General features: G+C 40.4%; 1 protein-coding gene and 1 long non-coding RNA gene across 7 annotated transcripts in view; one reads left to right on the top strand and one right to left on the bottom strand.

Annotated features, from left to right (window-relative positions):
* The window catches only part of LOC105375079 (uncharacterized), a 48,136-nt gene that overhangs the window by 4,199 nt on the left and 17,563 nt on the right, over nt 1-26,374 (bottom strand). Inside the window, exons 2-4 of one of the 2 annotated variants that reach the window (XR_001743802.3) lie at nt 25,324-25,456; nt 18,246-18,357; nt 10,353-10,494 (exon numbers count right to left, since the gene is read on the bottom strand). This is a non-coding gene — a long non-coding RNA (uncharacterized LOC105375079). Of the gene's footprint in view, nt 1-10,352; nt 10,495-18,245; nt 18,358-25,183; nt 25,457-26,374 lie in introns of those variants that run through there. The other variant, XR_001743800.2, reaches the window with a different exon arrangement.
* The window catches only part of RCAN2 (regulator of calcineurin 2), a 271,235-nt gene that overhangs the window by 228,729 nt on the left and 16,132 nt on the right, over nt 1-26,374 (top strand). For all 5 annotated transcript variants that reach the window (NM_001251973.2, XM_024446301.2, NM_001251974.2 and 2 more), the window contains 2 exons: nt 14,346-14,519; nt 16,323-16,494. In NM_001251973.2, the coding sequence (NP_001238902.1) occupies nt 14,346-14,519; nt 16,323-16,494 (346 nt within the window). The remainder of the gene's footprint in view (nt 1-14,345; nt 14,520-16,322; nt 16,495-26,374) is intronic.

The following is a 26,374-nucleotide window of genomic DNA, read 5'->3' as shown; positions in this document are numbered from 1 at the left end:
TTGGTTGAAGGATAGCTTTGAAGAAAAGAACAAATTCATCAAACGGTAGTGTGTGGGAGGGAGGACTGTTCTCTCAACATTGTCTGGTTCATTTCATCACCAAGTGAGCCCTTTCCAAAGTGTAGGCATCTGCATGTCACACAGTTGGCACTCAATAGTGAATATGTGAGCAAAACACAAAAATGACACCATTACTGCCCTTGAAGTTCTTGTAATCCAGTTAATGATGGCACATTTGCCCTCACTAACAACACTGTTATGGGAGCACAGCAGAAGGATGTCTAAACCTTAATGGGATTCAGGACAGATTTCTTGGATTTGAGATATGAGCTAGGACTTGAGAGACAATTAGAAAGTTATCTGGAGGAAAAGGCTGTTACTGGCGGAAGAAAGGGCAAATGAGAAGGCTTGCAGGCACAGAATAACCTGCCTTTGGGAACCTGTAAAGAGAAGTTTGGCTGGAATATAGGCAACAAAAGCAAAGGAGAGGTATGAGATTAGTGGGGTGGGTGATAGCCATTTTATGAAGGGCCTTTAATGCCAAGCAGAGCCTTATTCTAAAAGCTGTGGGGAGCCACTAAAGAATTTTATAGAGGAATGGTATAATCAGAATTTTCTCTTTTGCTTTATTTATTTATTTATTTATTTATTTAAGACAGAGGCTCACTATATTGCCAAGGCTGGTCTCAAACTCCTGAACTCAAGCAATCCTCCCACCTTGGCCTCCCAAAGTGCTAGGATTACAAGCATGAGCTACTGCATCCAGCCCAGAATTTTCTCTTTTAGAAAGACCTCTCTAGCAGCAGGCTTCCAAGGTTGATTTTTGGGTGGCCAGACAGAGACCAGGGAGACCAAGTGCAGTCATAGGGTAAGCCACAAAATTGATGGCAGGGTGAACAGGGGGCTGATGGGAGACGTACTGAAAGGTCCAGAGAACATAGTGCTTGTTGAGTAGTGGGATGTGGAAGTGAGGGAGAAAGAAGAGATCAGGATAACATTTAGGTTGCCTGCTTAAGCAACTGGGTAGAGGGGGCCATTTGTTGTGATAGGATGAGTGGCAGATTTAGAGGCCCCAGCTTAAAAAAAAAATGGCTTCAGGGCCATTACATCAAAGACACCTATTGGAAATCTCAGCAAAACAATTGAATATGGGGCGTGGAGGTCTGGAAATGGGTTTGTCTAAAAGACAGTAGAGGTGTGTTGGGAGAAGAGGAGAAAGGAACCAGATAGGAGGGGCTTACCTACTCTGTGTGTGAGCTTCTGATGTTTTCAATAGTCACTGGCATCTTTATCCTTTGCTCACTGTCTCTCTGAGCTCCAGCTAATGGTGCAGGATCCCCAAAGGGAAGGATTGAAGGCAATTACCCAGTTGATTTCCTCCTTAGAATTATTTAATTTATCATGTTGTTTTGTAAAGGACATGATTAAACCTTTACAGACAAAAAAGAAATTTTGTGGCTAATTTGGGCTCTACATTTTCAGTAGATAATAACATCAATAAAATCAAGTTAGTTTAATTAGAGTTGATTTCATAGGAGACATTTTGCTGACATTCCTATAATTGGTCTTTACAATCTTTGAAGATTATATACAGGTACGAGTATAGATATAAATATATAGATAGATGTAGACATAGATATAATATACTTGGTTCCGGATATAGGGATATTTGGATGTACAGCTAATAAGCCAAATACAGGCATATAAACAAAATGTTTATCTTCCAATCTGGGATTAGTAATAGCTCACACACACTTACTGTGCTCAGCAACCTTTTAAAGTGATATAAATATACTAATTTACTTAACAGCCAGGATACCCCTATGAGGTAGATACTGTCATTATTTCTATTTTATAGTAAGGAAACTGAGGCATCAATGGGTAAGTACATTGTTCAAGGTTGCACAGCTGGGACCAGCATTTAAACTAGGTAGTCTAGCTCTAGAGTTTGCTAGTAACATAACTTTATACTGCCTCTTCTTACCTGTATCTTATAGATAAATGAATATTTAAACAAATTTAAAGTAAAATTCCTGTCCTCTTGTGAGACTGGATAAGCTGTAAGACAGGCTATGCATTTCATCAATTACACATGCACAATTAGAGCCTATATCTAATCAGGGCTGATGACAGCCACAGACGTTTGTACAGATTAATGATCAGAGAAGAGGAATTGATGGGCCAGAGAAGGTTGAAGCTGTCAGCTTTTAGGAAATGCCCTGAGCCAAGGCAGCCATTGATGTTGTAAACTGAAATGTGGCAGCTATAAAAGGACTGTCAGATCCTTCCTTTGCATAAAAAGTATTTATTACCATGCACAGAAGCCCAATTTTCTGGCATGTAACAGAGATCTGTATTCATAACTACTTACTCAAAAGTCTTTAGTATGCCTGGTCCACCCTCCTCCCCATCCTGGGGACATGTGGGAGAGCTCCTTTCTGCTACCTCTTACATTTTCATAGACCCATTGGGAGACTTAGAAGTGTCCTGGTGCAGGCAAGAGACTTGCAGCCATCCACAAATGGTACCTTGCTTGGCATAGCCGGGCTCCATAGCCTCTGGTGAGTGCCCCACCAGAACAAGCCCTGGGTTCACGTAATGAGAGGGTCCCACTCACCCAAAGGATGGACAGTCACTGCATGGAGTCAGAACAACAAGAGCCCTAGGCATGCAAACTATGCTGCCTTTCGGTTCCTCTCTTGTCACCTGCCCCTACTTATTGGACAGCTTCCAGGACAGGTTCCAAGCAATCCCCTCACTTGCTCCTCTTCCTCAGTCTCCACTTTGGGTACTTACAAAGTGGATTTAGGCAAGGAAAGGATGTACTCAGCCATCTATAATAGGGTGCGTTGACTTAAACTTTGCGGATTCAAGTCTCTTGGCTCGTTCTGGTGTTTAAACCTTTTAGGGAATTGACCCTTATCAGCTAAGAGTATAATATTTTGAATATAATAAGAAATATATTTTTTGTCTTCCTCCCTGTTTCCTGGTACACAGTTCCAAGAACCCCTGGAAAATCTCCTCAGTGATAAGTGTCTTTTTGTATGCTAATGAGAACACTAGGGGCCCTGGGTGGCCTCAGGATGGGGTTAGAACTTTCAGCTTTTCAGCCTACTGTCTGACCTCTGGGAAGGGGAGAGATGCTGAAGTTAGAGTTGATCACCAATTGGCAATGATGTGATCAATTCTGCCTGTGTAAGGACGCCTTCATAAAAACCCAAAGGACAGCATTCAGGGAGTTTCCAGGTTGCTGAACATGTAGAGGTACTGAGAGCGTGGTCTAGTCCAGAGAGGAGCATGGAAGCCCAGTGCCCCTTCTCGCATACCTTGCTCTATGCATCTCTTCCATCTGACTGTTACTGAGTTGTATTCTTTATAATAAAAGGATGAGCATAAGTAAAGTGCTTCCCTAAGTTCCGTAAGCCATTATAGCAAATGATCGAACCTGAGGAGGAGGTTGTGGGAACTTCCAATTTATAACTAGTGGGTCAGAAGCAAAGCCTGGACGTGCAATTGGTGTCCAAAGTGGGGCAGTCTTGGAGTACTGAGCCCTTAACCTTTGGGATCTGGCACTATCTTCAGGCAGATAGAGTCAGAATTGAGTTAAAGCGTAAGACATCCAGTGGGTGTCTACAGAGAACTGGAGAATTGCTTGCTGTGAGAAAAACTCCATGTGTTAATGACCAGAAATGAAGTAATGTGAGAGTATAGAAAAACCAATGTTTTGGTTTTCTTTCTGTACAGTACAGTGATAGAAACACTGTACTTGTTTTAGCTGTTCTGAAAACCTGGACTCCAGATTATTTTGTGACTGCACAGTACATACTTCACACTCTCTTGGGCATATTTCCCAGGGGTTAAATGAAGCTTTAGAGCCCCTCATTTGCATTGGTCTTTACCAAGACTTAATAGAGCCCTAGCATTGTATTCATGTGGTTATATATTTTTGCAAAATTTGCAAAAGTTATTTCTTATTTTTGTTCTCATTCTTAAAAAACAAACCTCCAATGTTTATGTTTAGTTGCTTTTTTTGTGTTTTGTTTTTGTTTTTGTTTTGAGACAGGGTCTCACTCGGTCACCCAGGCTGGAGTGCAGTGGCATGATCTTGGCTCACTGCAACCTCCACCTCCCAGGTTCAAGTGATCCTCCCACCTCAGCCTCCAGAGTGGCTGAGTCCACAGGTGCGCACCACTGTGCCAGGCTAATTTTTTATATCTGTGCTTAGTTTTCTATTATTTTGCTTAAAGAAGGCTCCCCAAGGTGTGAAATCTTCAGGTTACATAATACTTGGATTCACCCCCGCTCTGCCTCCCTCATTCAAAGGTTATTCCAGTTAATAGTCCTCATACACGTTTTTATTTGTATTGGAGGTGTTTGGGTTATTTTGTTTGTTTGTTTGTTGGCTTGGAGTTTTTTCAAGTTCTAAGTGTTTAGATGATGACTAAGAAGAATCAGAGAAATGGAAATTTCCTTAACTAAAGAAAACTAAAAATATACTTTTGAATAGCAATGTTATTCAGCCACAGTGAACTTTAGGACCGCTACTGGGAAAGAAATAATAGACTGGAACATGGATCATGGAACTTGCTCCACTGAGAGAGGTGTGTGATGAGTCCATGAGGTTTTAGAACAAAGTGGCTTCTTCTAGAGTTTGAGGCTGAGTATTAGATCTTTGCCTCTCACAAGAACTCCAGGGAGAAAGGATAAAGGCTTCTATACCTTTACCAGCAAGCTATCTTTTCTTGAAGCAGTTATATGACACAATGTCTGTCTGCTTCTCTTGTTAGTGAAGAAAGATTGCAGTTCCTCTTTTCACAATGATTTTTATTTAGGTAGCATCAGGACCACAAATGGAACAAAGCATAATTTCATACAAGTTTGGCTGGCCTAAGAAATCCTGATAGGTTAAAGTCCAGCTGTGGGAACTCTCACATGCACGCCAGTTATGCCCGTCACATAAGGAGTCTGCATCCTGTCCAGGAGGTCCTCCTGAGACGCCCATCACATCCAGAGTGGTTCTTCAACATGGGATTTGCCCATGGCCTGTCAATAGTATCCACTGAGAAGTGATAAACCTAAAGGAGTGGTTTTACTCTTTGGCAGTTTCTAGTAGGTATTATCTGAAAGATGAGAGCCTTGTGATTTTGAGAGATGCCAAATTTCTTATTAAAGCAATTTATGCCCAAAGGGATCATAATTGTGAAAATTGAAAAATATATAAAGCGTATAGCATCATTTGGAAAGCTGACAAAAGTACCAGTGGACTTCCCTAGTAGCTGTTTCTTCAAAGTCAGCACTGTTCTTTTGGATTGACAAGGAAAGCTGGTTTTCTTATTCCTGTTTGGAGACTTCTCACTCCTCTGCATGTATCAGTGATATTTATGCAGTATAAATAACTTGAACTCACTAGTTTTGGTTTTGCTAACTGGCTAGTTGTGTGACTTAGTGTATGTGATTAGCTTCTCTGGCTTTCAGTTGCTTTCTAGGTAATATGGTTTGGCTCCTCGTCCCCACCCAAATCTCATCTAGAATTGTAATCCCTACATGTCGAGGGAGGGACCTATAATCCCCACCCGTCTAGTGAGGGAAGTGATTGGATCATGGGGACAGTTTTCCCCATGCTGTTCTCATGATAGTGAGTGAGTTCTCACGAGATCTGATGGTTTCATAAGCGGCTCTTCCCCCTTCACTCTCTTTCCCTCTCCTGCTGCCATGTAAGACGTGCCTGCTTCCCCTTCCACCACGATTGTTAAGTTTTCTGCAACCTCCCCAGCCATGTGGAACTGTGAGTCAATTAAACTTCTTTTCTTTATAAATTACCCAGTCTCAGGTATTTCTTTATAGCAGTGTGAGAATGGACTAATACACTGGGTTTCTCAAGGACAACAAAAATTCCAATTCTTGCTCAAAGGACTTATTGAGGATTCAGTGAGATAATATTTTAGAAGTTATGATTTGTCTGCCACCTGTCTGATTTAGAGTTAAATTGAGGGTAATATTTTAATATCCTAATATTTTATAAAATACTTTTTTATATTGACCAAATAGAACATATTGAGCACTCCCTGAGTACTGAGGTCACTGCTGAAAGCTATTGATTGAAAAAAATAATAATACTTGCTTACATTCTGATTGGAAACTCTAACAGACCAATCGCTGCTTGTTTCATGTTCTGTAATTACTGAAGACAGTGCTCTCCGCATAACAATATCTTTTTAATGAGGATGCTGGACAGATCCTTCTGCCTGGTTTTTAGATCAGGCCCATCTTTATTCCATAGACCCTGTGAACTGTATAACTGATGAGGGTTACTCTATCCTGTTAATGTTAAGAAAGATTACAGGCAAAATGTTGGCCCACTCATTGTGATATTCAAGGATCTATGAGAAGCTTTTCAGTTTTTGGAACAGACCTCCTTCTTGGCTTCAATGTATGTTTCTACACTTGTTTCCCCCTTTTTCTCTTCTCGTTTTCCATTTTACTTTATTTTATTTTGCCATAATATATCTTTATAAGCCATGTTTGAGTCTTTTTAAAAATCTGGGGCACAAATAAGAAACAAATAATTATAGTAGAGGTGAATAAGATTTAAGGAAAACCACAGTAAGCCTCTCTAAGACAGCAATAAATACCTGTGTCCGTACATCTCAGACTACTTAAGAAAAGCAAATACATCTAAAGGTAGAAGTAGAAGCCTTAACATCCACAAATGTTCATATTTGACACTATATAATCATTTTATTTCAAATATGGCCTGAGTTCGGCCTGGATCTGTGTTTGTTATTTGGTAAGCAGCACATGCACATCTTCAGACATTCTACCTGGAACATATTTTATTTTATTTTATTTTATTTTATTTATTTTTCTTTTTTGAGACAGAATCTCGCTCTGTCACCCAGGCTGGAGTGCAGTGGCACAGTCTTGGCTCACTGCAACCTCTACCTCCTGAGTTCAAGTGATTCTCCTGCCTGAGCCTCCCAAGTAGTAGGGATTGCAGGCATGTGCCACCACGCCCAGCTAATTTTTATATTTTTAGTAGAGACAGGGTTTCACCATGTCAGCTAGTCTGGTCTTGAACTCCTGACCCCAGGCGATCCTCCTGCCTCGGCCTCCCAAAGTGCTGGGATTACAGGCGTGAGCTACCGTGCCCAGCCTCCAACCCCTATTCTAACCTCTCCCACTTTCTTCTCTAGAGTCCATTATTGATTTTCTCAGAGTACCATTTGTGCTCTACAATAATCACTCCATATCCTCTCCTTACCAAGTCTTTAATTGCTCTGAGCAATGCTTATTCCCTCGCAATTACACATTGCTAGGCAGATTATTCTCCAGTTCCCTACCTCTGAAGCCCAGAATATTAGGCTTAGAATTCTCTGGCTTCCTCCTATGCTTCTAGACTGTTGTTCCATCCCTTTTTATAGATGATCTCTGTGAAGCCCCTGCCCTCCAGTTGAACTCTTTTCTTCCTGTCTATGCTGCCATACCCTGCGGCTCTCCAGGTCACTCCTCCTGTTTCTCACGCAGCTTATCTGGCTCATGGTTGTCCCTCAACTCTGTTTCCTGTTGTCCTCCTGAGTCGGTGGTCACCGTGCAATCCTCTTACCTCGCTATTCTTTAGCCTCTATTCCCATCATCCTCACCCTGTCATCCATCACAATTCCATTCATGTGCCTCATGTTGACCCTAAGGGCATCTGACACTGAAAACCTTCTGAAACCTTAAACTTACAAAATTATCTTTTGGGTTTACAATTTTTTTGTCTTCTACTTTTCCCACTATGTCATTCCTACAAAACTTATTTTTCTAACTCATCCAGAACCTTGAAGTCTCACATCTTCCCATTCTTTCAGTTGAATGTGATACTCCTGGTTTCTCTTCTTTCCTCACAACCTCTCATAGTCGGGCATCTCATTGCCTACTTGCCAAGCCTTTCAAGTTATTCCTTCATGTTTCTTCTCCTATCCCTCAACACACACACACATACACACACACACACCTGTCTTGTACTCATCACCTTGGAATGACCCAAATATCCACTTCCTCCTCTCCTGGGGGGAAATGGTGTAATTATATTAGGTGCTCTGTATTCTTCCCAGAGTCATCTGGTTCTGTAGGTCTGCAAGGCTGCCTATATTTGTTTCCTGGGGCTGTTGTAACCAAGTGCCACAAACTGAGTGGCTTAAAACAATAAAAATTTATTACCATACAATTCTGAAGGCTAAAGTCCAAAGCCAAGGTGTCAGCAGTGCGGTGATACCTCTGGATCCCATAGGAGAATCCTTTTTTGCTTCTTCCTAGCTTCTGGTGGTTTGCTAGCAATATTTAGCATTCCTTGGCTTGCAGAGGTGCCACTTCACTGTCTTCACAGGACACTCTCCCTATGTTTCTCTGTCTTCACATGGCTTTCTTATAAGGACACTAGTCAACTTAGATTAGGGTCCCATACCACTTCAGTATGACATCTTTTTAACTAATTACATCTTTGATGACCCTATTTCCAAACAAGGTCATGTTCTGAGGTCCTGGGGTTCAGACTTCAACATATCCTTACTATCTCTTCTCTCTCCCTCTTTGTTAGTTTCATTTCTTCAGCCAATAAGTGTTTCCCCACACTACCAAAAATCTGCTTGTGACCGTGACTGCCCACATAGTTAGCCCAGCTCCCTGGTTTTCATTGCCAAACTCTTTTTCCAGCTTTTTCTCTGCCCTTCACTCCTCCATCTGTAATTAATCTATTACACATCTGTTCAAACAGCTCTCTCAGTAAGGTCATCAGCATCAGCCCATTTGTCAAATCCAGTGGTGTCATCTCCATCTTCACCCTATTTGACCTTCCTGCAGCATTCAATACCAGTATTATCACACTTCCTTGAAGGGCAGCTCTTTTCTGACCATTATGTTGTACCCTTAAGGGTCTCACTAGACCTCCTGTCTTTCCCCAAGCCAACTGGATCCTTACTTCTGAGATCCTGTTGTACAGCAGTGTTCAGTGTGTGGTTTATAGACTCATGAGGGATCCCAATACCAGTTCCTATGTTGTCAAAACTATTTTCATAGTAATACAAAGGTATCATTTACCTTTTAAATTGTGTTGACATTTATACCCATGGTGCAAAAGCAATGGTAGTTAAAACTGCTGGTACTTTAGCATGAATCAGTGCAGTGCCACCAAATTGTGCTAGCAGTACAGTCATGTGTCGCTTAACCTCAGGAAGATGTTCTGAGAAATGTGTCCTTAGGTGATTTCGTTGTGTGAACATGATAGAGTGTATTTACACAAATCTAGATGGTATAGCGTACTACACATCCAAGCTCTATGGTACAGCCTATTGTTCCTAGGCTACAAACCTGTACAGCATATTACTATACTGAATTCGGTAGGCAATTTTTACACATAAGTATTTGTATATCTCAATATATCTAATCATAGAAAAGGTATGGTAAAAATATGGTATTATAATCTTGTGGGACCACAGTCAGATATGCAGTCCATTGTTGACCAAAACTTCATTATGCAGTGCATGACTGTATTTCTATTCATCACAGCCACACACTCACAGTTAAAAAAAGAAAAAAGAAAAAAAGCAGAAAAAGAAAATGCCAATTTTACTTAGAAATGTCCTTGATAAGGCAGTAAGTTTTATTCATTTTTTTAACCCTTTAACCTTAAGCACATACCTTTGTAATATTCTGAGTAAAAAAATGGAAAGTACACATGAGAAGCACTTCTGTGACATCCAGAAATACAATGTTTGACTGGAGGAAACATTCTAAGCTGTCCTAAGCTGCCCTTGGTACTTTTCTCATGGAACACCATTTTTACTTGAAGAAACAACTGACAGGCAAAGTATAGTTATGGACACTTTGGTATTTGGCAGACAGTTTCTCAAAAATGAATGAAATGAATCTGCTACTATAAGAAAAATAACTGAAAGTGTGTGTTGCCCAATAATAAAGAATGAGCTTTCAAGCAAAAATTAAAATTTTGGAAAACTTGTATCCACCAATGTGAATTCCACAGCTTTTGAATAAGATAGATGGTAGATAGATTAAAAGTAATGGCAAAAATCACAATTACTTTTGCACCAAACTATAGTATTAATGAATGTGATTTTTAACACTGTATTGAAATTGGTCAAGTTGGAAAAGTTATATAACTCAGGGAACCAATATTGTCTAAATGATTAATGTACACTATTATGAAATCATTGCATGGGTTAAAATTTATTCAAAGTGAAAAATAGATAAATGGATCTTAATAAAATCATATAAAATGTTATGTGATTATGCAGTACACTTTAAGAAACTACTACTTATTGAGTTTTGATGAGATATCAATGAAGAATACTCACAATTATTTGAAGGGCTGTTAAAATACTCCACCCTTTTCCAACCGCATATTTGGATGAGGCCAGTTTTTCTTCATACCCTTCAGTCAAAACAACTTGGTGCAACAGATTGAATGCAGAAGCAGATATGAGATCCAGGTGTCTTCTATTAATGTGGAAATTAAATAGGTTTGCAAAAATGTAAAACAATGTCAATCTTCTCATTAAACTTTTTCTTCTTTTGGAAAACAGTTATTTTTCATTAAAAAGTTTATGTTAACAAACAAAGGGCTTATTATTATTACTTTTAAATAGATTTATATATAAATATTTTCAAGTTTCTCAGTTGTAATTTCTAGTTCAATAAACATTGTTAAATAAAACCCACATTTACAAAAATTCTTTAGGATCCTCAATAATTATTAAGAGTGTAAAGAGGTCCTGAAACCAAAGAGCTTGAGATCGCTGCTGTGGAACTTTATTCAAACAGGATGCTACAAAGAGAACTAACGATCGAGGAGAAATTAATAATTTATTGGATTTGTTGGGCAACACAACTGGAGAAAAATGGGAGCCAGAGGACAACAAAATATTATTGTGTCCCTGGTGAGAACCTGCACATCAAGACCACAGAAGATTTTCTGTAATGGCAGGTGGAGAATTCCTACAGCTAGTGCTTTTGGTGACACTGTTTTGCCTCAGTGTACATCTGGTGGCTTCATTGTGCTGGATCTGCCTCTAACTAATTTGGTCTGGTATCTTGTTGCCTCAGCAAATGATATGTGTGTAATGTCACCAATGGAAACAAAAATAGAGAAGGCTAGCAAGTCCCTATTCTTGGACAACTGTCACCCCTACAAATAAAGGTCCCAAAAGGCCTGAAAAGAGAGGACATGCTGAGTAAATGTCAGCTGTTTATTATTATCATCATTGTGGACTTTAAGCCCCATATGATCCAGTGAAAAACCTGGTGCCTGAGCTCTGGACTACACCCCAGGTTTGGTGCAAGAGCTCCTTTTGTTTTTCAGCCTAAGCCCAAAACAAGGAATATCAAAGAGTTTCACGTCAACGGCCAATTCTAACTTGGTGGGAGTTGGTGCCTGGAGCCTTCTATTGAGGATCAGTGGGAACAAGATGTTCTCGATGTCTGCCAATGCCTCACCAAGGAGGTAGCACATTGTCAGCACCCTCTAAGCCTAAAACCTGGAGTCCTTGATTCTTTGCTCCTAATGCAGTCTCTTGAGGCCAAACTGCTCTGATAAACTGAGATGTGAAGCATAAAAATGAAATATGAAATGAAAAGGAAGGAATTAGACTCAAAGGAAAAAGCACCTCGCTTTCAAAAGCTAGACTTAATGGCCCAAGCTCAGGCATTGGAGAGGTGATGAGAAGGTGAAACTCCCACCCTGGAAATGGGAAAACATACCAGCCACAAAGAAGACCCAAGGATTCTGTCCTTAAAAAAATATTATACTCTATATAGAAACAAGAGTTTTTAATCTCTTAATTCTCCTATTCCTGAAAACTTCCCAAACTAATCAAACTACCAGCTGTGACTTGACCAGTTCAGAGTACTCTCATTGTGAGGAAACAGAATGCATTTTAGTCATCAGTATTCCTGCTCAGGAAAACACAGTATTGTTGGGACACAATTCCGTAATGAGACTACTTGGAGTGGTAGCTGAAGCCCTGAGTCTGGGAGTTGGCTGATCCCAAGGCTTAAGAGATGAAGGGAGACAAAAAGCCTGCTCTGCATAAGACAAGGAAAAATTCTTGTTTTGTTCGTGATGGGAAAAGGAGTATAAGAAAAAAACTGAAAATGCGAGAAAGAACCCCTCAAATCTCCACAAATGTCACAAAAAAAGCAAAAGCTTTTATTGTATTCTTTGGGGTCCTTGGACTGGTATAAAAGAGAAGAGTGTGGGCAGACAAAGGAGTCAAAGATAGGAGGGGGAACTGCAGCCTGGGGATTCTCAGAAATGGGCAGCAGGGTATGGAATCATCACCAACATGGGCTTGAAGGTCTGATACAAGTTGATCTGGATGCCCAAGAGGCAGGAAGACCTTCCCTGACATTCGAGTTACTCCTCCTGTGGAGCCTCAGAAGTCAGTGTTTTTACAACCCCACCTCACTATGTTGATTCTCTTAGATGTGATCTAATTAAATATAAATGCTCTTATTAAAATAAGCATCTCCTCCTATCAACCTGACAGTATAATTCTTTATCAAGTTGACAGTATCTCTCTAGTCAGGGTCACAAGGACTTTGGCCTGGTCCTGGCTCTGCTACTGACTGTCCATGTGCCCATGGGTAAGTCCTTATCTTTTCAGATCTCAGGGTTCTGACTCGTAAAATGATGGAGGTGAGGAGGAAAAGGTTGAGTTCATCATCTCTTAAGTCCATTCCTAGTTAAAATTCTATGAATCTTGCAGTATTAATATTTCATGCATCTCCATCCTTACTTGTACTCACTGTTATGAGAAATTACCTTTTACTGTTGAAATAAAAGAATCAGGTTGGTTGTATATATAATTTCCTTAGTGGAAGTTTCTCTATTAAGAACACACTAGCTTATAACATATACTAGTTTTCTTATAATAAGGATATTTTTATGGCTAAGAGGAACCAGACAGATCAGACAGATGGTATTAACATAATGCCTATATATTTTTTCTTTTTTAATTCTCTAGTTTTCTGTTATGCCTTTCTGCAGTGTTCTGGGTGTCCTCTTACTTGTGTGTATCTGCTTCACATGTTAGATTGTTAGATGGTTGAGGGTCAGAACAATGTGATACTCATCTCTGTATCCTCTTAAAGTCTTGAGAGAGACCATGCCTCATACAAAGTAAGCATTTAATAGATACTTACTCAGTTGAATTGAAATTGTGTATTGAGTCTAAAGTTTTTAATTACTGCTTTGTATTGTGATAGCTTGGTTATGCTGTAGGAATAAAATAATTCTCAAATCTCAGTGATTTAATGCAATAGAGATTTTTTTTTTCCTTGCTATGGCAGAGTTGGCTATAGAATGGGGTTGGAGTCGGGAGAAAACTATTTCTGCTTCATACAGCCACTCAGGGACCCAGAGTGAAGAGAATCCTGTTTCTGACAGCTGTACCTTTTGAAACACATGGCCTCTTCAGAGAAATAAACTGAAAAATTACTCGAGGGCTTTCTTCTGCACTCTACACGTATTTCATTGACCAGGACTAATCAAATGGTACTGCCTGACTAGGAAACTGGATGGAGTGGATCCCATATTTTTAGGCAAGAAAAGTGCCCACCCCTCCCTAGGCCTGGCATGGTGGCTCATGCCTGTAATCTCAGCACTTTGGGAGGCTGAGACAGGTGGATCACTTGAGGTCCGGAGTTCGAGACCAGCCTGGCCAGCATGGTGAAACCCCATCTCTACTAAAAAATACAAAAATTAGCTGGGTGTGGTGGCACATGCCTGTAATCCCAGCTACTCAGGAGGCTGAGGCAGGAGAATCACTTGAATCCAGGAGGCGGGGGTTGCAGTGAGCCAAGATCATGCCACTGCACTCCAGCCTGGGCAACAGAGCAAGACTCTGTCTAAAAAAAAAAAAAAAAAAAAGAAAGAAAGAAAGAAAAAGAAAAGTGCCCCCAAGATTGGTAATCACAATATTTACCATATGCTTTACTCAGTAGCTCCAGTATTTTGGAGATAATGAACTTCTTTGAGAATCTAATGATCATTATGATCCCTCTCCTCTACAGAAATACTCAACATTTTGCGTAATTTCCCATTTGTTTCATATACTTTGAATGCTATTCACTGGTCCTCTAGAGAACCTTGGACCAAGATTATAAATCATTCAGGCATGTTTTGCACCTGGCAACAGATCTACAGATGAAAAAAATACATTACTGGTGTTCTATTTAAACCATATGTTATTAACAGCCTATTTATTTAGTTGTTTGTTTTTATCAGATATGACATCATACGAGATCCATGCCATGGCCAATGGATTTTCCTCTGTGTTTGTTTTTATCAGGAAAAATTTGAGGGACTGTTTCGGACTTATGATGACTGTGTGACGTTCCAGCTATTTAAGAGTTTCAGACGTGTCCGTATAAACTTCAGCAATCCTAAATCTGCAGCCCGAGCTAGGATAGAGCTTCATGAAACCCAATTCAGAGGGAAAAAATTAAAGCTCTACTTTGCACAGGTAAGGTAATTGTTTACCAAAGTTATTCTTTTTGCCCTACATTATTTTTTACCATTTTAAAATGTAAATGAAGCCCTTTCTATTTTCAGATTGGTTGGTAGTCTATAAATTAATTCACTGAGAAATAGACCCACATCATGATTTCCAGACAGAAACAGCTTAGTGGCTTAGAAAACAGGCTCTGAGAGCTGCCTACCAGAGCAAGTTACATAACCTCACTGGGGCTCCTTATTCTCATCTGTAAAGTGGGGATGATCAAGATCTACACCCCATACTGTTATGAGGATTGCATGAATTATTGTGTGTTTAAGTGCCTAATATTTGGCAAATACACAATAAATGCCCGCTAGTAGTTATAATAAGAATGACGTAATCACAGCTATTCCTAACCTTCCTATCAGGGTTATAATTAAAACTTAAATCATATGACAGCTTTAGTGGAATGTATAACTTTTCAATGATTCATATTTATGAGAAAAGGTGACAAATATATGGAAATTAATTTGTTTCATCCAAAAATCAATTCTAGCTCTTCCAAAATGAAATGAGTAATTCTTGGCAATGCTTATGAAGTTCACAGCAATAGAAATCAATATCCATCATGTTCCATTAGTGCCCTCACCTCATCACTAGATACCTTGATCCATCTCTTAAGTGATCTGTAAGTATGGTTTCCACCTTCAGATTCTACAGAGATGGCACAGTGAAAAGAACACAGACATTGGCCCTGCATCCATGTTCAAATTCCATCATTGCTATTCTAATGTGTGTGATGTGGACAAACCTCAGTTTCCTCGTCTTTAAAATCTCACTCAGTTCCTTAAAAAGTTAAGCATTGAATTACCATCTGGCCCAGCAATTCGACTCCTAGGTATTTAAAACAGGTACTCAAAAAAATACATGTACACACACGTTCACAACAGCACTATTCACAATAGACAAAAGGTGGAAACCATTCAAATGTCCATCAATGGATGAATGGATTAGCAAATTATAGTATGTCCATATGATGGAATATTATTCATCCATAAAAAGGACTAAAATACTGATAAATGCTACAATGTAGATGAACCTTGAAAACATTATACTAAGGGAAAGAAGCCAGACACAAAAGGTCACATATTCTGTGATTCTACTTATAGGACATATCAAGAACAGGTAAATCTGTAGAGACAGAAAACAGCATGGTGGTTGCCAGTGACCAGTGGGAGACAGGAATGGTGGTAACTGGTAATGGTAGTACTGGTAGCAATAGGCAGAGGAGTTCCTTTAAGGTGATGAAAAGAGCTTGGATCTGGATAGAAGTGGTTGTTGCAGGTTAGGAATGTACTAACTGCCACTGAACTGTTCACTTTCAAGTGGTTAATTTTATGTTATGTGAATTTCACCAAGGAAGGAAGGAAGGAGGAAAAGAGAGAAGGAGAGAAGGAAACATTTGGCAGGTGCGTGGTGGGACAGTGGACTGGCAGCCAACAGCATAGCCTGGGGATCTATTAGAAATGCAAACCCTCAGGCCCCATCCCAGGCCTCCTGAATCAGAAATGTAGGGGATAGGGCTCAGCAATCTGTGTTTTAGTAAGGACTGCAGGTGATTCTGATGTACAGTAAAGGTTGAGATCCACTATTTTCAGGATTAAATAAGGCAATTGAGCACATGGTATGTGGTAAGTGGTAATTATTATTACGGTCGGGTTCATCGGTTCATTTGTCGCAGGCTGAAACTAAACCCATGTTTTAATGTGCCAACATGACACATCTGAAGCCATGATGAATAAGTTTCTTCATCTCTACTCTATTTGAAAGGTTCAGACTCCAGAGACAGATGGAGACAAACTGCACTTGGCTCCACCCCAGCCTGCCAAACAGTTTCTCATCTCGCCCCCTTCCTCCCCACCTGTTGGCTGGCAGCCCATCAACGATGCCACGCCAGTCCTCAACTATGACCTCCTCTATGCTGTGGCCAAACTAGGACCAGGTAAGCTTTGCGGTCCATTTTAAAAATAAACGTTTGTCAGCAACCTAGAAAAGCCAAATGAGATTAACAACCTTGAGATCCTGGGTTCACAGTAACATCTGCATTTCTAATAGATTTATTCCTCTGTGTGGACAATGAGAGGGAATGATGGATGAGAATGCAGCATCAGACTTTGCACCCGTTCAAAAAGCAACTCAGGAACCTGTACTAAAATGGTGTCAAGTCCATGAAGCTTCTGGATTGCAATGCAGATATTTTAAGATCCAACAGCACTACCTAATTCTTGTGGGATTTAACTCTATCCCAGGAGGAAATTGTTTCCTCAGAACAGACAAAATGAACCCTACCAGCTGGAAGGAGGCATCTATGCTGTGCAACCCAGTTTTATTGCTGTCACAGTGCTAGTACACACTCAGGAACCCCTTGTTACAAGAAAACCTGCCTGCCAAAGTGAACCTCCAAGTTCCTAAGAAGTCAGTCACAGCAGCCTCTAACTTTAAAAAAATCTTAGTCACTTTGTTCTGATGTTGGCATATGTAGCTCTGATTCACTCATTCTCACGCAGTATAGCATTCTAAAATATGAATCTACCACCACACTTTATTTAGCCACTCTCCTGTTGATGGACATTTAGATTATTTCCAGGTTTTTTGCTATTACAATCAAAGTAACAGTTAACATTCTTGTACATCTCTATGCACTTGTCCAAAAGTTTCTTTAGGCTTTGTAGTTAGAAGGGATACTGCCCTCAATTTCAGCAGATGATGACACCTTGCGCCCCAAAGTATTTTTTTCTGTGTTATATTAGGAGAGGAAATAATAGAAATTGAAGGGGCTGAAACCAGGTGGCAGCTGAGATTTTTAGCACTGTGAATTGAGTGGTAACTAATGGCCATTATGTCTGCTCTGTCTACTGCTGGTTATCTTGGGATAGGAAGGAGCTTTAAAAATAGAATCTGAATGCCTGACCCCACCCCAAGAGATTCTAATTTGATGTGGGTAAAGTTCAGGTATCAGTACATTTTAAAAGCTCCCCCACTGATTCTAATATGCAGATAAGTTCAAGAACCACTGGTAGCTAAATGCCAAGTACCAAGAATAGTCAACTTATAAGTTCTTACCAGCATTTCTTAATGTAGCAGGAAAACATTTGGCCCAGAGTCGCCCACCCCAGAAATCTGCAGTTTTGATAATCACATCTGTTGATCCTTGTATACGCCAAAACCTGAGAACCCTAGGAATTATGGTGACCAACTGTCCTGGTTTCTCCAGGACTAAGGAGTCCCTTGGCCATAGGACCTTCACTGCTAAAATCAGAAAATTCCCAGGCAAACCAAGAAAAGCTGGTCGTCTTACCAGGTACCTAGATTAAGATGATGCTGATCTGATTAATAAGCACTTCTTGCAAGAAGATTGCCAGCTGTTGCATGTATGTCCTGAAAGTTAAATTATAGAACTTTCAAGAGCAAGCTCACTGGAGGTTTCCTTGTAATCACCATCACATCACTCAGCTTCTCAGGCCCTTTAAAATGGCCATAAGTTTTACCTTCAAGAAGCAGTAGGTATGTCTAACTAACATGTGCTGATGAAAGAAGCAATATAATAATAAGAGAGATGTTAGTGAAATATGATTTCATTAAACGTCTGGTTCACATCCAGGATCCTGATCTTAGACCCTCCCCCTTCAGAGAGCCACATGTGTGATATGCTTAAACACTGCACAGTGTATAAAGTAAATTAAGTCTACTCACATGAAGCCTTGTGAAGCCCTTTCCCACAGTCATTCAGGACATTGCAGAAACAAGCACACATATCCAAATGGACCAATTTCAGCCAAGGTCCTTGAAGCTGCCAGTTTGACTCCTATGCACAGATATTGACAAGGACACACTTGAACACTTTGTAGAGGTGTTTTGAATGTCAGCAAACAGAGCTCTTTATAGAATCACTAAGGTCTTGGCTAGAGGACCTAGGAGTCTGACCTGGATTTTACAGAAAAGGAAACTAAGGCCCAGAGCGAAGCAGGGAGCTGATTTGACAATGAAAGTGCCAGAGCTTCCAATGCTGTGCTCTTCCTACTTCACTATTTAGAAAGGAGGCTCAGGCTATGTCAGACTTTCTAACCATCACACCCCAGCTGGACTCCAGCTCACTCATGTGGAGCTGATCATCCAGTAAAATTCAAATCATTTTTATCAAGAATGTGAAAGAACATTAGTTGTTGTCAGCATTCACAAAGATTGATGCAGAAAAAGCTAGGGGCAAGTTCCAGACACCCTTACTGGCTGACCCAGCTGAGTCCAGGCTCTGGAAGGCACAGACAGGGACAAATGTGACTTGGGACTGATGGAGGCAGAAGGCACAGATGGGATGGAAATTAGGCCCCGGAAGGGACGCTCACAGAGCCTGACACAGAAGAGGAAGGAAAGAAAGAGGGAGGAAGGAAATGGTCTTAAAGAGGCAGAGAAAAAAAAGCAGTTGGCGATGGGGGATGGGGAGCTCGGAGTGGTAAATAACTTATCAATAATGTTAAAAATACACGCCTTTTACCTTAATGTTACAGCTAATCTATAGCACCCACCTTCTTTTATCACAATAAATGTACCATCTACCATTTTTGAAGGGCCCTGCTTTGTAATAAACACAGAGATAGGACCTATTATTATCCCCATTTTATGGATTTGGAAACGAGGCTGTAGAAAGAAGCATGAACTTTCCCAAGGTGACACAGCTGGTTGGTGACATCGTCAGATTTCAAACCCTGGCGCTTCTGACTCCAGAGAGTAAACTTCACACTCCGCCAGCTGGCCTTCTATTAAGGATACTGGTTGGCTTGGCTGACTTCAGGCCTGCTCTGCTTCAACTCTGGCAAACATTTATTTGTTTTTAACCCTGAATCAAGAATTATTTCTTGGTTTTTTTTTTTTTTTTTTTTTTTGAGACAGAATCTTACCCTGTCACCCAGGCTGGAGTGCAGTGGCACAATATCGGCTGACTGCAACCTCCTCCTCCCGGGTTCAAGCAATTCTCCTGCCTCAGCTTCCTGAGCAGCTGGGACTACAGGCGCATGCCACCACACCTGGCTAATTTTTATATTTTTTAGTACAGACGGGGTTTCACCATGTTGACCAGGCTGGTCTCAAACTCCTGACCTCGTGATCCACCCGCCTCAGTCTCCCAAAGTGCTGGGATTCCAGACATGAGCCACCGCGCTAGGCCTCAAGAATTATTTCTAACAAACACCAATCTAAACTTCCAGAAAGCCTAACCTAGTGTCTGGTAAATGTGCAAATGGAGACTTGTGCATTTGGTACAAGAGCAAATATTGAGAGTTTCCTGATTTTTAAGTATGACTGATATTGTGTCCATGGAACAGCTGCAATCTGGATGTATTTTCTAGGATATGTTTCTCTCCATTCCTTGCCAGCAATTTGGGACTGTTTGTCTTTATTTGGTTATCCATTTATCCCTTTTCTATGTCCTTGAAGCTTCCTCAGCCACACACATGCATGATTTGCGTCCAACAATTGAGTTGAAAATATCAGACGTTAAATTAAAGGTTGTTTCAGCTGCAACAATCAGGGAGCAGGGCCACACCCTTCCTCCTCCCCATGGCATCCTCCCCCACATCGCGTCTCTGCCCCCTTCCCAACCAGGTGCCAAGGCAAGAGGTTGCTCCTTCAGTCTCCTCCTGTCACTTTGCACAAATATTCACTTTTCCTTATGGTAATTTTCTATCATTCAACTTACTATCTTCACTTCTTACTGAGGGAAAGAATGCATGTTTCATTCATTTTGGTATTCCCAGTACCTGAAACTACCTGGCACATAGTGGATGCTCAATAAACATTGGAGGAATGAATGTGTGAATGAACGAAGGAATAGACCAGAGCTATTAGCCTGCCTAGAGATAGTTTCTTTACTGACAAATTGTTGCTTTCTTATAGCTTTAGCCAGACTCAGTCGGGAAGCATTAAATTAATGTTTTCTATAATTAGAGGACTTCTAGCATTTTCATTTTTAAAAAAGTGATTTAGTAAAATTTAGTTTTAATCCTTTGGCAGAATCATTTCAGTAACAAATTATAACTAATTGCATGTTAAAGAATGACTACCTCAGTTCCAGAAGTACAGAAACAAATTAGAATGGGAGCAGAGGAAAGCAACTCAAATGATCAAAGGAATGGAGTTTTGCATTAGAGGAATGATGAACAGTGTTTAATTGGTAGAGCAGAGTGATTGAGAAGGTATGTAGACATTTAAAGCTGCTGGGAAAAAGTCAGTCTAAAGAAAGAACGTTATGGAGCAGGGATCCAGAGTGAGATGGGACTCGGGCTAAGTCAACTGACTGGCTGCCCCCAGAGGCAATGACACAGTTTATTAGGACCCTTTCATGGAGAACAAATGAAACAGTGGGGATCCAGGCCTCATCTCAGACAAGCAAGGGGCAAAACAGTCTGTAGTTCTTTAAGGAGGAATATTGGTGACCTCTCAGAGAGGGACAAGTCCAATTCCTGAAAACTTCTAGAGTGGTCCTAGAAACAAACATAAAGAAAGCAGTGCAGTTATAATGGAACCATGATCAGACCCAAACCTGTGGGTGCCTATTGAAATCCTTTGAAATATTTAAGATGTTGCGACAGGAGACGAGGGCCACGTTATATTCAAGAAGTGTCTCTCAGTTCCCTTTATTATACCAAGAGCAAGTTTATATTCCGAAAATTATGAGAGGCATAATTTTAAACATCCTTAATCATTGTCCCCATGACCATTCTATCTTTGATCCAGAGAGTAAGTAAAATAGGTATTATACATTAGAAAATAAATAAATAAAAATGACTTAAAATTATGTGGGGATGAAGATAAATTACTTACTATGTGCCAGGCACTGTTCTAAATACCTTACAATATTATTTAATGTTCACAGACAATAACAGGTATTATTATTGTCCTCAATTATACAGCTGGGGAATGTGAGGCACAGAGTGGTTAAGTAACTTGCCCAAGGCGACACAGCTACTAAATTAAAATATGTCCTCTGCCACTGGCAAGAAGAGTAAAAGATTGGTTGAGCCAGCACCCTTGCCCTGGGAAGTGAAACATTTTTCTCTAGAAGAAATTTAAGATTGCTGTAAAGGAGAAATTTAAGAATACAAAACAACTTATGCCTTTCGTTCCCTCACATTTTATTTCTCTACTTTTTGGCACCCACTAAAACACACTACTGCATCAATTCTTTACGGTACATTTCATGCTTTTTTCTTGTGTCCAGCAGGACGTGCAGATCAAAATTTGCCTTCCTCTGTTTAAGGGGCAGTTATTGTCTCTATAAAACACAATCCTTGTGTGTTTCTATTAGTCCCTTGGGGAATGTGTAGAAGCCCATCAGTTTAACAGTGACCTAGACAGAATAAGATGGGCTCTGACCTTGAGGAGAATTATGAGTTGAATATTTATTTTGAAATATCTGTTGTTCCTGACTCCAGAAGCAGTACAGTGCCAGGTTCTTTTCTGATGTAAAACAAAATAGGAGAAAATAAAAACCCAGCCTGGCAAAATAGCTTATCTCCACCAATCAGCAGAAAATGGTAAAATAGAGACGCACGTGGCACTAACTAGACAGGAAATCAGAGGTGGGAAGCAAAATGCCAGCCTTTATTCTGCTCTCTAAGATGGCTCTGGAAGGTCATGTTCATTGTCACTGAAAATGCCTGCAGGGAGCGATATGAAAAGTCATTGTCTCTTCTTTTTTTTCCTCCTGCTATTTTTAGCTCTTGTTAGGAAGATCAATTTTAGTTAACTGCAGAGAAGGGTTTTTAAAATGGTGCTTGAGTTTCAAGTTGCATGTGTCTGCTATATTTAGATTTTTTTCCAAATTCTTCTGTATCAAAACATGACATAGTAAGGCAATTTTGCTGGTGTTACTGCTTGGTATGGTGTTTTCCCCAATGGGAAAAGATATTCCATTAACTAATGTAACCTATACTAAAGAAACATTTTCTATTCCAGGCTCTGATTCAGAGGTAGAAAAAAATTCAGTTTTTAAAATATAGATGAACACCTATGTTTTTGGTGCATGTGGTATGAATATTATATAAGGCCTCGATTCTCATTCAGCAATTGCTGTATTCTCTGATCACAAAAACAATAGGCAAGTAAAACAGTGAGTGTCCAGTGTTCCCATTAGCACAGTCTCTCTGTGTCATACCCCACATAAGGGACTCAGATTGGGATCCTGGAGCACATGTTCAAATTTTCCCATTGCCTTTGAAAGAATTGTCCCTGGAAAAAAAAGGTTTTTTCAGAGGCTTTTCTTCCCAGCATATATTCCATTAATCTATCTTCCATCACTATGGAGTAGCAATATTAAAATACTTCCTTTTCTAAATTTACAGGTAAACTGTGTACATTGTAGAAAAACAGAAGACATATGACCAAAAAATGGGAAAATATGAATAACAAATCCTACTGCCTATAAAAAAAAGTACTTTAAGGAAGAATCATTGTAGTGTTTACCCTTGCATTTTTTCTTATAGGTATGTGTGTGTGTGCATTTGTGTGTCCTCACAGTTGTTGTGGAGGCTGGGCCCCTAATATGGGGCAAGGGAGAACAGGATGTTTCATTCCCAGGGAGGACCCAGCTCACAGAGGGCTCTCCCAGGCAGCTCCCCCTTTCTTCATCTCCGCCACTTTCCTCTCACCCCATGTGGAGGAGCCCCTTTACTCTGGTCGCTCTCCCTCTTTATCTTCCCACCTCTTTCCCCTCTGTGGTTCCCTTAGTTTTCTTTGCCTATACCTTCCCTCCGGGATTCTGCTTCTTTTTCTCAACCATTAATTCAGGTCCTCAGTCAATCAGTTGATCCCATAAAGTACTTTGGGTCCTAAATGTCTCAGGAAGGGTTGAAGATAAATCTCCCCATTCCCAATCTAGTATTAGAGAGAAACCTCCAGAAGATAAGCAAATGTTCTTATACTGAAATATATATAGCTCCCCTTATACCAAAACTACAGAGTATGCTCTTTGTCTTCTTTCTTTCCCTTGCTCTCTTGCTCACTCTCATCCTCCCCCTTCCCCATCTTACCAAGGACCCCTTCTTATTTCCTACTTTGATATGGATCAGAACTGAGGAGGGGGAGGAAAGGAAAGAGAACCCCAATTATTTCATCAATATTTTCTTAAAATGCACACATACAAGGCCTACTGAGGCAGAATGTCAGTTTACAGCCCTGATGCCACCTGCAGCATCCCAACCTCGTGCATGCCTAAATCTAGGAAGTAGTAAGGCGGTTACGCTGGTCGCTCAGCAGACCTGGATTGGAGTTCACCACTTTTCTCTGGGATCCACCAAAGTTCAATAGGAGCTCATGGAAACACAAAAGAATCAGAGAGAAAAAAGGTTACAAAGGACTGAATTCCCTGGACTCTGTCTTTTAATCCCAAATCCTCTTTCCACTTCCACTTAGAAGATAAGTTCTTTCTCTGCTCCCAGATTGAGCTTGTGAATAGGCAGCTACCAAATAGCTATGATTTTTATGTTTCCAATAAGTCTCTCTGCACCCAGAATATCTCCTTTTATTTTATAGCTGTAAATGGAGATCCAACATGAAGAGAGGCTTTTCTCTTGCCTCAGGATGATGATTGAAACATAGGATGTGAGTTTGAATCTAGGCTTCTAGCCTCCACATTTTATTAGCTCTGTGACCTTGAGGAAGTTTCTTAACTTCTCTGTGCCTCTGCTTCTTCAATAGTAAAATCAGTTTGTGGCAAGCATCAAATGAGATAATCCATATAAAACTGTATATCCAGTATCATACATAGGAAAGGCTCAGTGTATGTTAACTATTTATTATCACTTGATTTTCAAACCATATATTAGCCTTCTATTAAAATGTGTCACTGAGTGTGGTGGCTCACCCCTATAAATCCCAGTCTTTGGGAGGCTAAGGCAGGAGGATCAGTTGAGCCTAGGAGTTTGAGACCAGCCTAGGCAATGTAATGAGGCCCCTGTCTCTACAAAAAATAAAAAATAAGATTATCTGGGTGTGGTGGTGCACATCTGTGGTGCCAGCCACTCAGGAGACAGAGGTGGATCACTTGAGCCAAGAGGTCAAAGCTGCAGTGAGCTGTGATCCTGCCCCTGGACTCCAGCCTAGGTGACAGAGCAAAGTGAGTTCCTGTCTCAATAAAAAAATAATTTAAATGCCTGTGTTAAGCTCTTAGCTCAGTGCTGCTCAATGTGAAAGCTATGATATTTTGGAGTTGACAGTCCTACACATTGCAGTACATTTAGCATCCTTGGGTCTCACCTACTAAATGCCAACATCCACCCACACCATATGACAAAAAAAAATCCATTTCCAGACACCATTAGGGGTTTAACATTCTTATGTGAGAACCACACTAATTATACTTTCTTGAATGTGACAAAGAGTTGTCACAGGCATAGAGGCAGAGAACGCCTAGTAAGGGGTCGGCGATGTGTGCAGAAAGAAGAGTGGAAGAGGTGAGATGTATAGAGGAGCAGCCCCTGCCTCCCAGCTTTCCTCACTCCTCTATGCCTTCCCAGACACACACACACTTTTTTTCCTTCCCTTTAGAAAACTAGGGGAAGACAAGAACAATGAGAATTTGCATGGCCCATGTCCATTTATCAATTGCCACATAACAAACTATCCCAAAAATCTAGGGCTTAAGACAACAGTCATTTATTTTGTTCACAAATCTGCCATTTGGGCCAGGCTCAGGGGGAAGGGTCATCTGTTCCATGCAATGTTTCTGGGGCAGCACAACTGGGGGCTGGCAAGTCAACTATGAAGATGGTTCACTCACATGGTTGGCAAAATGGTGCTATTAGCTGAGAGTTCACTTAGACTGTGGGTCCTGGTTCTTCTTAACGTGGGCCTCTTTATGGGCTGCTTGGGCTTCCTTACAACTTGGACATAGGGTTCCAAGCATGAGCATTCTGCAAGAGCAAAGTAGAAGCGCATAGCATATTTGTTACCTAATTCAGAAGTCACACTGCTTACTTCCACCACATAGGTTGAGGATCCCTTATCCAAAATGCTTGGGGCCAGAAGTGTTTTGGATTTTGGATATTTTGGGATTAGCGATACACAACAACCTGTACTATATTTGTCAAGACAATCATTAAAGCCTGCCCAGGATTGAAGGGAGAGAACACAGAGGGAACACTCCTTAATGGAACATTGTCAAGGTTACAGGAGAGTATGTGGGGTGGGAAACATTATGACCATCTTTGGAAAACACAACCTGCTACCACAAATAACTTTCCTGTTGAGAATTCACCCGTAATATGAGAGATAGTACAGTTTTAAAATGAGAATGTAGAGGATCTTCTTCCAGAGTCCAAAACTTCCTTCCCTAAGAGATGCAGATTAACTCAGTTTATAATTTATAGTCTCTTCTTTTCATAATTTATTGTGTTGTCTTTTGAGGAGATTCATTGTCAAAGAGACCATGCCTAGAATAACTATCAATGGCCAAAACAAAACAAGGCAAGGTTCAGAAGGAATACATGATCCATCTTTAGCTAGAGAACAAATATTCACTAAAAATATGAGTTGCCATGAAAATGTATTAAAAGTGAAAGACAAAACTAGGCTCCCTTTCAGTAGAGTCGCTTGTAGAATATGTAAACAGTGGGAAGTATGAGAGTTAGGGACAGAGAGGGGCTATGAACACATTCTTTGAAGTCAGGCAAGCCTGAGTTTAAATCCTGGCTCTGCCATTTACTACCTGTGTGATCTCAACTTACTGTTGTATAACTAGATATTATGAAACCCACATGACAGAGCTGTTGTTATAATTAAAGATCTATTTCATGCCAAGTAGTTACAGACTTTCCTGTGCCTGGCATTTA

The sequence above is a fragment of the Homo sapiens genome, chromosome 6, assembly GCF_000001405.40.
Source record: "Homo sapiens chromosome 6, GRCh38.p14 Primary Assembly".
Taxonomy (NCBI): domain Eukaryota; kingdom Metazoa; phylum Chordata; class Mammalia; order Primates; family Hominidae; genus Homo; species Homo sapiens.
This window is presented reverse-complemented; position numbering and strand designations above follow the sequence as displayed.